At 49.0% G+C, this 12720-nt stretch overlaps 1 protein-coding gene across 1 annotated transcript in view, besides 1 other annotated feature; it reads right to left on the bottom strand.

The window, feature by feature from the left end:
* The window catches only part of EEPD1 (endonuclease/exonuclease/phosphatase family domain containing 1), a 148285-nt gene that overhangs the window by 15506 nt on the left and 120059 nt on the right, over window positions 1-12720 (bottom strand). The window contains exons 4-5 of the mRNA NM_030636.3: window positions 4808-4918; window positions 1213-1347 (exon numbers count right to left, since the gene is read on the bottom strand). Coding sequence (NP_085139.2) covers window positions 1213-1347; window positions 4808-4918 — 246 coding nt within the window. The remainder of the gene's footprint in view (window positions 1-1212; window positions 1348-4807; window positions 4919-12720) is intronic.
* Window positions 4288-4949: an enhancer, noted in NCBI's record as "OCT4-NANOG-H3K27ac-H3K4me1 hESC enhancer chr7:36320693-36321354 (GRCh37/hg19 assembly coordinates)". NCBI's record gives its function as "activates a minimal SCP1, AML or CMV promoter by ChIP-STARR-seq in primed H9 embryonic stem cells {active_cell/tissue: H9 hESC(primed)}" and the evidence as "EXISTENCE:reporter gene assay evidence [ECO:0000049][PMID:30033119]".

Here is a 12720-nt window from a genome sequence, read left to right as displayed (position 1 = left end):
GTTAGGAGGCTTAAAGGTGATACCTGGCTGACTTACACGTCAGTACCACAGATACAACCCATGGACACCCCCAGGTGTACATGTGCAGACAGAGCCCCATCAATATCACAGACAGAGGAATGAGAGGGGCTGCTGGGTGTGACAGATACCCCCAGGGTGAGCACACACCCACCCTCATCAACTCACAGTGTGCAAGGTGGCACAGGGCCTTGTAGCCTCAACACAGGGGCTGCTCCCAACCCTCAGCTGGCAGATACTCCCTGGGCTGGGGTTTGAGGTGACTGTCAGGTTCAAGAACTGCTCTGGAGCACACAGAAAGCAGGGGGTCTCCATGCCCAGGAGGGGATACGCTTGCTGAGCTCCAAGGCACCGGACCTGCTTGCCTGGCCTGTGAGCTCATGGTCAAGGACCACGGGGATAAGGCTCACTGACTGCCAACTTCATGACCTGCTTTGGCTTCTGCTGTCCAGCTGCTGACCATTTTGCGGTTCATTAACACTTCCCAAGGGCATCCGGGGAGAACCAGAGAGACTGCGCTCGATCAATCTGCTGAGCTGCTCCCAGATGCTGGGGGGACAGAGATTCCCACATGGGCGATGCCAGTGACAGGACTGCCCCTGGCCCACAGCCCAGAGCTCCTCCTGAATCCCCTCCAAACCCAAACCACCCCTTGAGAGGCCTTTCTCCCTGGTAATAAAGGAATCGGGCCTGAGATGCAGCCGATAAGAAGGGGCTCCTCAGGCCAGTTCTGCTGCCCTTGAATCCAGCCATTCCCTAACACCTGGCCTTGTGAACCAGTGCCAGGAAGGTGAAGGATCACTGAAGGGGCTTTTGGAAAGTAGGCCATCCGGATAATCCCCCAAATTCTGTATGTCTGAGGTGGGGTCTAGGAATCCCTGACTGTAGGAAAATCTCCCCAGGAGACTCTAATGAGGGTCAGGTTTAGGAGCTATACCAAATCTCCCTCCTTCCCCCCTCTCCTGCTCAGATGCCAGAGTTACTGGGGCTGTCTCAAAATCCCTTTCATTCCTGCCCTGGACAAGTTCACCTGCCAAGGAAGCCCCAGGAGAGACAAAAATCTCCAATCATGAGAGGCTGAAATCAAGGCAAAAAGACGAGACTTCTCTTACTCATGCTATTACAAAATGAGCCCTTTTCTTTCCTTTTTAGAAAGAAGCAGATTCCACGTCACAGACGGCGTGGAGCGGGTACCTTGAACCTCCCGAGGTATGGGCTGGGGCCCGCCAGCTTCCCGTGCCCGTTGCTTGGCGAGCTCTCCTGTGAACCCGCGTCTCTCAGCTCCATGCCGGCAGCCGCGTCCCATAGGAATCCTGCATACCCAGCTCCCTGCAGCGGAGAGGGAGACAGAGTCTTGGTGCCAGAGCCCTAGCGCCACCTGGGGAAAGGAGGCAGAGAGGCCAGAGAGACCGAGAGGCAGTAGGCCCTACTCTGGCTCAAGCTGTTTCTAAACCAAAAGCACACCACGAAAGCCACAGCCACTCTCCCTTGCCCTTCCCCAGCCCAAATAATTTCACATATTGCCAATTTCAGAGCTTTCCATACAGACAGGGTGGCCTGGGCTCTTCTGTCTTTGGGGGGAGGTGGGTGAAGCCCCGGCTAGGCACAGAGATATCTTCAGAATCATCACATCCCATGAGGTAGCAATTCATGCTTCCATTTCCCAGATGAGGACACTGCTGCTCAAAGAGGTTAAGTGACTTTCCTGAAATCCCACAGCTGATCACAATGCTGAGACTAAAACATATAACTCCAAGGGATGGGTTTTGCTTACTGATTAGCTGCAGCTTACAAAAATGGTGCCTGGCACCTAGTAAGAGCCCACTCAGTGTTTTCTGGGTGAGTGGAGGTCGCAGTTGACCTAATGGCTTGGGGCTGCTCGAGGGCCCTCCGCAGGTGGATGGGGCCATGGCAGAGGTGTGAAGCTTAGGTCAGAGGTGCCAGGGCTGGCGGTGGGGCAGAGTCCTAGTGCCTAGTGTTAAACCCTGCTGCTCTGAATATGCCTGCTTTGCGCTGCTGCCGCCGCCACTGGGGGCTTGTGGAAGAAGACACACTTCTCCTTTCTACCCCACCACAGCCTCTGCTGTCCATGAGAATGCTTCCTCAGCACCCGCTGCCTGGGAGCCATCTGCATGTCATTTGAGAGGCCAGCAGTGCTCATCACCACTCTTCCCCATTGCAAAAGGAGGGGAAGTGACTCTGCACAACCACCCTCCTGAGCAGCCACCACAAAGTCCCCAAGGTCAGCTCTGGTCTAAGCCACATGCCTTGTCTGAACATGCGTGTTTTTAGGAGGAGGGAGGGAGGGAATGAATGTATTGTATGCTGTGCACTTCTATATTTGAAATTATCTCCTTGCCCACCCCCTGGAGAGTGTGCTGGTTTGAGAACGAGAAGACCTGGGCCTCAGTCCCACCTGAGTCACTTAGCCGCGGGACCCTGGGCGACCCACTCAGTTTTTCTAAACCTCAGCTTCCTCTGGTTTGGAGGGAGGTATGACTGCCCTGCTGGCTTTGGAGGATTATCTCTCCATCTGCCATTTCCCAAGTCATGGTGCCAGAGTAACTTACCTAAAGCATCACTCGAGTCATCTTCCGCCCAAAAGCCTTCAGGGGCTCCCCGATGGCCCTGGAGGGGAAGCCTCTGCGGTGGGGCCTACTCCTTCCTCTGCCTCCCTCACCTGCTCAGCACTGTTTTCCCCACCCCCACTTCCCTGCGTGCTGCTCCTTCCACCGCTGGTTTCTTGCCCCTCCTGGGAGCCTTTCCCAATGCCCCTGACCTAGGCGCTCCCCTCTCCTCCAGAACAGCAGCCGGAGGAACAGGGTTTCCAGACAGAGAGAGTGAACTGGGCTCAGGTCCGAGCACCTCACATTGCAAAAGGGTGGCTTGTGGGCAAATCATTTCATCTTACTAGGTCTTCACCTTCACAGCTGGAAACCACCCCTCTGGCTATCGTGTAAGCCCTAGGGAGCTGGGGAGAAGATGCCTGGGGCAGAATTTCAGGCATCGGAGAAATGGCCCACTTTCTTATGTTTGTCTAGGGACAGAGATTGAACATTTTCAACCTGCAGATATATTCTGTTTGATTCACATAGTGTTTAAATTTTTTTGGATTATCTGTTCATCTTTAAAATTCAGGAAATTTCCCATTAAAATGAAACTGGGAGGTTTGGCCACATTGGGCCCACAATACTGCAGGGTAACAACTGGGTAGACATGGACCCAGCAGCAGCCAGAGCCAGGCATGAGCTCTCTCAGTCCACTGCAGGCGGCCAGCCTGCCACCTCATGCCCGTTCCGCCTGGCCCTGGCCTGCGCTACGTTCATGATGCATTCCAATGCATAGTATCTTTTAAAATCCTATAGCCACCCTATAGGTGAGCTAAGAAAGGGCTATCGCTCCCATTTTACAGATGAAGGAATTGAGGCCGAGAGGTTTTGGTGGATGGAACTCGGGTCTCCCTGCAACCTCATGTTGTTTTCCAATGGCCTTGACACCCTGACCTGGAATGGGGTTACCTGTCTTGCTCTCCAACAGGCTGTGCACTCCCTGCGGGAGGGGCCAGGTCAGGCTCCAGCCGGGATCCCCACTGTGTCTTGCAAAGAGTGAAAACATGCAGGCATGGAGTTTTTCTCACCAGTGTGTACCTGGCATGAAACAATATGCCTGGTACATAGCCACCTTTCATTAATGATTTGTTGAATGAATGCAGTGCTGAATGGACTATAAAAGGCTTGTGAAGCTCAGACACCTACATACATGTAAAGTGCGATCAAAAAAGGAAGGTGGTATTATTCTTATTATTTCCACGTGGACTGGAAGGGAGAACCCTGAACTAGATGCATTCAAATTCAGCTTTATCTCCAGCCTTCTCTGAATGTGTGCTGACTCACTGTCAGCTGCAGGAGCCATTTACACCCCCAAACATAAAACCCAGAGACAGAAGATTTACATGTACCTCTTTAAGTAGTAGCTAAAAAGAGAGTAGGGGCTTACTGTCAAAAAATGGCCACTTTTAATCCAGTATACATTTATGATTTAAGAGCCTACATTATAAACATAATCATATTAAGTATAAATCACATGTGTTTGTAAGCATGTTAGGTATACTAGGGATTTAAAAATCTGCATTTATAGGAAAATTATGTAATAATACATTTTCAACTCCTGGTTATTATCAGGAGTCTGTTTAAAAATCTAAAACTCCATTGATGTTAAGCATTGCAAGGTGAATAAATCTGGCCTTGAATAATAATATGAGGGAAAACGTGTATTTACAGAGATTTACCCTTACCTGCTCATATGGGTGATACTGATGAAAGAAAATTCAAAACCAAAATCTGCTGAACATTTCAATAGAACATTTCTATGTTGAAATTATGTGCATAATTTCTACCACTAGAAGCAAATACTTCATGTGTGAACTAAGGTGAATCTGAAATTTTCAGTCAACGAGTAATGAGCTCTGCACAAACTTGGCAGAAGACAGAACTGTGGCGAAGGGATTAGAAGGACAAAGGACAGAAATACCCATTTGTTGCCTTTCTCCCCTCCTCTCCTCCCAACACCCTAAGCTCTCATTTCCTTCTTGGCAGGAGTCCATTCCCAATCTAAACGTGAACCGAAAACCAGGGCATTTGGAAATGAATGGCAAGGATTTAAAAATTGGGCAGAAATACAAAATTGAACCGGGGATATTGGCAAAGGAAATTTTTAAATGCCCTTGATTAGGGGAAAAGTATGTATAAATTAAATGAAGGGAAAGGCCAGGCTTTGCAGACGAGGGTACCTTCTGGAGCTGACTCGAGGGCTTCTCAGCAACAACAGCCTTCCAGCATCCCCGGGGCCCCTTCCACTTGCGGATGTTGGGCAGGGTCGGCTGGTTTAGCTCCGTGCAGAACTGCAAAGACAGAGCACAGGTCAGAAGCGTGGGTTCGCGCCTAAAGCAGTCCCGGCTGGCGGCGGCCTGAGAAGCCAGGCACTGCATGATTCTGAGTCATCAGCCTTATTCAGACACTGCTGAACTACATCCCTGTTTTTCAAACACTAGGGTTTGCAAGAGCCAGATGACTAAACAAGCACCACACATTAAAAAGAAAACTGCCTGTGTGTGAAACACCAAATTATCACCTGGGGACTCTCAGTTCACAGAAATTGATTCTCTCTGTAGCATTCCTGCCCAAACAGTTCAAAAAAAGTCATCAGAATCCTTTTCATCCTTGTAAAAGCAGCGGATTGAAGGTCCCAGGAGGATCTGGATCAGCGTCAAATCCAAAAAGGTAACAAGATGGATACATGGTGACTTTCTTCTTCAGGGCTCAGCTTACAGGGGCAAAAAATGACCTCCAGCTTCAACTTGAACCACCGTAGTGCTTGTCTTGTTTACCTCTTGCTGCGGAGAGCTGCTGCTGCACCCACACACGTGCACGCGGCATGCACTTCTTTTGCTAATGCATGTTGCACCAATATGGCTGTAAAGTGACTGTCACTGAGGCAAAATAAAATTGCACACAGTAGGATGAGGAGTGGAACAACTATCCACTTCAAAATATGGAGACCAGCTCCTCTAACTCATGCCTCAAACACAACCCCTTCTCTTGGGGTCATGCCCCCTTGTCCTTCACAAGCCTTGGAGCACTCCACTTGTTTATTTCTCTAACCACCCCTACGAGTGAGAGCCTCTTGGCTTCCAAGCACATCACCACTCTCTCCGCTTAAGGACTCTCATTCAGCCCCACTGAGGCAGCTTACACCCCTATCCAGAAGACCCCAGCATCTGTACCCGTCGCCAGCTGCTCTCCTGAGTTTTAAAAGCATTTCCCACTGCCTCCTTAGCATCTCCACCTGGAGGTCTCCTTAGCCCCTCACAGCAGCAGGTCCCAAAGGGAACACATTATTCCTTCCTCCACCCAGTGCCCATCTTGGTCCAAAGCACTTCCATCCTTCCCGCTGCTCGAACTCCTTCCTCGCCTCCCACCAGCGCACTGATTCCACTGTCGCATGTGTCTTGGGTGCTTCCTTTCTGTTCTCCAGCCCCACTGCTGGAGCCTGTTTCAGAGTCCTGTCTTCTCTCACGGGGGTCACTGGCATAGCTTCTAAGAAGTCCGTCACTGGACCCACCCTGCAGCTATTCACTAAGTTCACTGTCATGGCCATGCTGATGCACCTCTCTGCGGTCCTCAAAGTGTGGTCTAGGGACCAGTAGCCACAGAATCACCTGAGAACGTGCTAGAAATCCTAGACCTACTGGATCAGCAGCTCTGAAGTGGGCCCAGCAATCTGTGCCTGAACAAACCCACTGGAAGATTCTGATGCACGCTTGGGTTTGAGAGCTGCTGTGGCCGCCCAGGTCCTCCCTCAGCCTCTGCCCCAGATCCTGGCGGTGTGTGAGCAGCCACCCTCTCAGCAGAGCCTCCCAACGCCTCTGCTGCAGAAAGCCACTCTCATGCCCCCTGGGCAGCCCACATACAATGGTTGGGAGAGGCCAGGGTCTAAAGGTCTGGTCTTTCCCCTCACATTGCTTTATTTGTAAGAGGGAAGATGAAGCACCAGTACTTCATTACTGAGTACTGAGCTAGTCATTTCTAGAGGGACAAGCGCTGTGGGGAAGATGAAACCAGGCAAGGGGAGGGAGAGTGCTGGGAGGTCTACTTTAGAAATGGGCTATTCTAGGAGTGACGCTGCTTTTACAGTTAGTCATGTAAGCATCTATCTTTCTCCAGCAGTGGACTCCACAGGGCAGGGACTGTACCTGAGCCTCCTTTATAAACCCCTACCTGGCACAGAGCACAGCACCCAGTGATGCTCTGAAACATCTGCTGGTGAAGCAGAAAACTCAAGGCAAGACTGCAGTCTTCAAATCTGTGCATGACAGCATGACAAACAAAGCAGGGGCAGGGAAGGGGGTCGGGGATGCGGGGGAGTCGGGGTGGTGGGAATTTCTCCTTAGGCTATTATCCAAGTAGTTGCCTCCATTGTAACCTGACTCTTTGCATACAGATATGTTCTCTGCTGCTGAGTTTGTCTGGGAAGCATTCTCTCTGGAATTTGCTCAACCATGACTTTTATAGGTTCTACTTTCAACACAGCCCAGAGCAGAGTGGCTGTGGAGAGAGTCACTGCTGACAGGGGCGAGGGAGTGGGGAAGGCGGAGAGGGTGGGGTTTTACCCTGGATAAGTCCCCCTGGCCAGATGCTCCTGGCTGGAAGCCATCCTCAGATGGGAAATAAAACACTTTGGAAGATGCAGCCAGAATTTATCGACTGTAACTTTAGGGATCCTGCAAGGAAATGTACTTCACAAAGGGTCCCATTTCCTGCCAGGGAATCATTCGCTTGCTGAGTGATCATTAGTGCTGCATCCAAGAATCATTAAAAACAGAGCAGCTCTCCAGTGCCCAGCTGGTGCTTCACTGTTTTCCTCGCAGGGGGTCCCAAACCTGGTTGCTCATCAGAATCTCCTGGGATGCACCCTGGAAAGCTCTATTTTTAAGAAGCGCCCCCCCCACCGCCCCCCCACCAAGGGATCAGCCAACCAGGTAGATCAGAGAGGCCCAGCCCTGGGGGTGGAGAAGGAACACACCAAGGTGCTGTGACTCCCTGTCTGCAGCGGTGCCACCAGGATTGTTCTCCTTTTCCAGAAATCTAATCTCTCCTAACCCCCAGGAGGACCTTCAGATACCTGAGGACAATTGTATCTCCCATTCATACCCAAACCCCACCCTGGCTTAGAAAAACCCCTCCCTGGCAACACCATTTTGATGGGAGGGGTCGGAAGTCTGAAGAGGTGGCCCAGGCTGACAGCACTGATTCCCATGCTCGTGGCTGGTGGTCTTTTGAGCTGGTCACAGTGTGAGCACCAGTGTCACCTGGGAATGTGTTCAAAATGCAAATTCTCAGGCTCTACCCCTGACCTACTTAACTAAAGATTCTCAGGGGCGGGGCCTAGAAGTCTGCATTTTAACAGCCCCTCTAGATGACTCTGATAGGTTCAAGTTGATTTCATGGATGAAGAAAAGACATTCTCATTTTTCTTTGCTTTCTATTAATATTTAAAAACTTTTCACTCACAGGTAAGCTCTAGGAGCCCTAAGGAAGCAGAATCCCTGACCCTTAAGGGCCATCTTTATTCTGTATGCTTGAAGCCCTGTCCTTTAATAACCTCTCTCAGCCCACAGAGCAGATCACCGACCCCTCGCTCTGCCTTCTTCTTCAGTATTTACGTTATTAGGGATAGTTAATAACTTGAGCGACGAGGGAGATAAGTGTTTATGGCTACAAGCATTCTATGTCCTAATTTTCATGACCAGAGTTAAGGAAGGAGTAAGTATTTTCTTCTATTTTTAGGACTGAAAAAAGAATTGTTAACTTAGCTATCTGCACTAACTATTCACAGAAAACCTAAGGAGGTGAGCACCTTTCAGACGCTTGCTACTCAAAGTGTGGTCCATGGACCAGCAACATCAACCTCACTTGGGAGCCTGCCAGAAATGCAAACTCACAGGCCCACCCTAGACCTGCTGCACGAGAATCGGCATCATTTTCTCAAGACCCCAGTTGAGCTACGAGCTTCTCAAGCTGGAGAATCCTGGTTTAGAGCCTTCCTGTTGACCTGTACCAAGGCAGATGCCATTGCACGCACCGTCTTTATTATTCCTGGCACAGCCCACAGGAGGTAACTGCTACCAGTGATTCATGAGTACAGTGCTGCACAGAAAGGTTAAGCCCAAGCTCAAGTTCAAATTCAAGGTTACACAGTTAGCGGGAGGGTCTGAACCCAGGGCTGGTTCCTGCTGCTCTACTTCCTGGCCTCGACAGGTGGAACAGGGGAGGCAGGGCAGATTCAAAAGGGTTGGGGCTGGCCCCCTCTACTGAATCTTTGGCTCCTTTCTCCCAAAACTTTCAAAGGAAAACAAAAGCAGCCACTGAGAGCTCTCAATCTGAACTCCACCTTCAATTGTTTTATTTAGAGCAGCTGGTTCTCACACTTTTTGCTTTGCCTACAAAAGGAAGAAATAATACTCTTACGTAAAAGCAGCCCACCAGGGCAGAAAGGTCAAAATGGAAGAGGGAAGGTTTGTGTTCATCACAAAGTGTCCCAGACCAGTCTGGCCTGCAAAGCCCAACTACTGCCACCCCACCCTCTCGGGTTTCTGAATCCCCAGTGGCTAACTCATCACCTATCCCCATCTGGTTCTTGTTTTTAAAACCTTGGATTGGTGGACCCCATCCTGGATTGCCTGAGTCTGGTTCTTTGAGGTTCTGGCCAAGGTTTGTACTTCTAACAAGTTCCCCCAAGCAATTCTAAAGTACAGTTTGAGAAGCTCAGGCAAGGCTAGACAATTGCTGATTTAGCACTCCTAGTTTTAATTCCTGTGGCCTGGGAAGACAGCTTTTATTATTCCAAACAAACAAATACTATTTTGGCTCTCCCGGGACCCTGTACGTCAAAAGCCTCTGACTTGTGGCTGTTAACAGATAACCTTGTGAGGTAATGAATGAGGCAATATACTGAGCCCGTCACACTATGGCACACAGTAGGTACGCAATGGGCATTTGTTGAATGAATGACTCAGTGGAATCTCTCCTAGGGATCCCAGTTTCCCAGAATCAGTTATAAGAGCTACCAATGAGCTCGATTTGTTTCTCCAGCATCAGACCAAATTGGGTAAAATTGGGTCTTTTAGCATGCTAATGCATTATAATTAGTGTAAAAAGAGCAGTGAAGACGACCAGAGATGGCACTTTCATTGCCATCTTGGTTTTGGTGGGTTTTGGCCGGCTTCTTTACTGAAACCTGTTTTATCAGCAAGGTCTTTATGACCTGTATCTTGTGCTGACCTCCTACCTCATCCTGTGACTTAGAATGTCTAACCACCTGGGTATGCAGCTCAGTAGGTCTCAGCCTCAGTAGGTTACCCAGCCCCTATTCAAGATGGAGTCACTCTGGTTCAAATGCCTCTGAAAGTCAGATATTTAAACTCCAATCTACGAGATGTACAAGGTGCTGGCATTTAGAAATGCCAAGTCCTAAAAGAAAGACTACTTTGGCTACACCCTTGAGCTGTGTTGTATCTTGGGTCGGCCGTGGATCAGGTGACTCTGCAGTGACAAGGGGTTCTAAGGCTTGAAACCAACCGATATGTTGCTTGTGGACCTTTGGACTTTTTTTCTCCTACTTTGGCTCCTCCCTCTTTCTGAAAAGAATATTCCATAATTCATCTGGTGCTGACTCGGAAATAAAAATAATAAAGGTGGTTCGGGCGCAGTGGCTCACACCTGTAATCCCAATACTTTGGAAGGGCGAAGCGGGTGGATCACGAGGTCAGGAGTTTGAGCCCAGCCTGACCAACATGGTGAAACTCTGTCTCTACTAAAAATACAAAATACAAAATACAAAATACACACCAGGCGTGGTGGCGCGTGCCTGTAATCCCAGCTACTCAGGAAGCTGAGGCAGGAGACTCGCTTGAACCTGGGAGGTGGAGGTTGCAGTGAGCCGAGATCGCGCCACTACACTCCATCCTGGGTGACAGAGTGATATTCTGTCTCAAAAATAAATAAATAAAAATAATAATAATAAAAATAAAGGTGTTCCAACTCCACTCAGTGGTCTGTCCAGCTACCACTAAGTTCAGAGATCCTTTAGTCTTTCCCTTCCAGTGAAATTAAAATGCAACCTGGGACTCTGTGAGCAATTTATAAAGATGTGTTGCTAATGGTGACCACACAGCTGGTGGCAGAATATCAATAGTACTGGTAGGCATTTTAAAGTAAACTCTGAATGGCCATCCTCATCCTGCTTCCTGGATGGGTGGGGAGGGCATGTTTTCATTTTGAACCCTCTAGGTCAAATTTCCAGATGAAGCTGCTACACCGAGGTGGGTGTTTCACTTGCTTTCCTGACTCTGGACGTGACTTCCCTTTGACAATGAGTTTTGCAAATGGTAACACTTTCCTGTGTGTTCTCAGCAGTAGCACTGAAAACGCAATCTATTTTGGTGGATGAAGATGCACAGGTGAGTTCTCCTTAAAAAGATAAATCCTTACCATAAAAGAAAGAAGCCCTTGTCTTAGGCCGTGCAAGGTCAGGAGACTGAACTTTCATTAGAATACAATAGGACACAGGGCAAATGACAGAGGCAACATTTTTAGAAATGTGAACGGTAAGCAAGGGTGTCCGCGTGCCAGGAGCTTGCGTATGGGGATGTTAACAACCGATATTAGAAGGCACTGAACCTGAGGATATCTGTGGGTGAGCACACGGGGGCTGCAACTGAGGAATGCCTGGGGTCATTACAAAATGTCAATGGAGGGACAGCATTAGGAAAAATAGCTAATATATGCTGGGCTTAATACCTAGGTGATGGGTTGATAGGTGCAGCAAATCACCACGGCACACATTTACCTATGTAATAAACCTGCACATCCTGCACGTGTACCCCAGAACTTAAAATAAAAATGAAAGTCAATTTACTCTATGAGAAAAGTGAGAACACAAAAGCCAAATTATGTCCAAGTATAAACTAAATATTAACCATGTTTGGTCTGCTAAATATAACAAAGAAGCCTACTACAAAGTTTTTCTAGGATATTTAAAATATCAAGATATTAATATTTTTAAAGGCCACATGGCCTACAGGGCAGAAATACACTCTCTGCTGAGGTCTACTGAGTGCCAAGGGACTTCATGGTTCTTAGTGGCTTGTACATGCCCTGGCTCTCCTTAGGGCTGAGGCAGGAGCTCACACACTGGATGTAACATGGTCATAAAGCAACAGCAAGGAGTATTTCAACCTTCTTTCTCCCTCAGTCTGTATGAGAGAGATTTCTCATTGGCTCATGCCCTTCAAAGAGAGGAGGTGGGTTCCTGCAGAGCCAAGACAAGGTGTAGCTACCTTTGCTCCAGCGCAAACGCAGGTATGCATCCCAGAGGGGGCAGGCCCAAGGTAGGGCAGGGAGCAGTGTGTCTTGGGGGCTCCAGGGCCACTTTGAACCCTCACACAACACTGCCACAGCACTGCCTCTAGGATCCATTCCTACTGGCCCAGGAGCTCATGGAGGGAGAAGAGGCAGGCCATTCCCCGGGTCACTTAAAGGCTCAGTGAGCAATTATCCTTTTCCAGTAATGAAAGAATGAGCTGGGCTTGCTTCCTCGTGGCTTTGGAAGTTTCCTCAGAGGGCCACATTTATGGGTGGAAGGAGAGGAGCACAGAGGAGCTCTGGGACCCTGCACACATCACTGAACATCTTTGCGCCTCAGTCTCCCCATCTGTTAAGCAAAGGGATGGGGGGAAATGACTCCAGACCAGGGCACCTCTAGTTCTAAAAGTGCATGATTCTAGAACTCTGGGAGGAAAAGGCAGGAGGGAGGGGCTAGCATACAACTGAGAGAGGAAATATGAGTCTCATAAACATTAAAACCCCTTTCTCCCTCCTTCTCTGTGATAATTGCCATGTGAGCTCCACCTAAAGACCCCTTCCTAAACTGCCTGGAATAAGAGCTCACTTTTAAGCTCTTATTTACTTAGGTAGTAATCCCAAGAGGTTAATTTGGGTAAATCCAACAATGGTAAGAAGACACAGGTGGCCAAGAAGCTATGATGAGGTTGGCTCCTGAGTCCTGTTTTTTAAAAAAAGCCAGGGGGAGGAATGGGGAGAAAAAGGAAACCAACATTTACTAAGTACCAAGGATATGGCAGGC

This window comes from Homo sapiens, chromosome 7, assembly GCF_000001405.40.
Source record: "Homo sapiens chromosome 7, GRCh38.p14 Primary Assembly".
Lineage (NCBI taxonomy): Eukaryota > Metazoa > Chordata > Mammalia > Primates > Hominidae > Homo > Homo sapiens.
The sequence above is the reverse complement of the archived record's forward strand: the minus strand, read 5'-3'. Positions and strand labels throughout refer to the sequence as shown.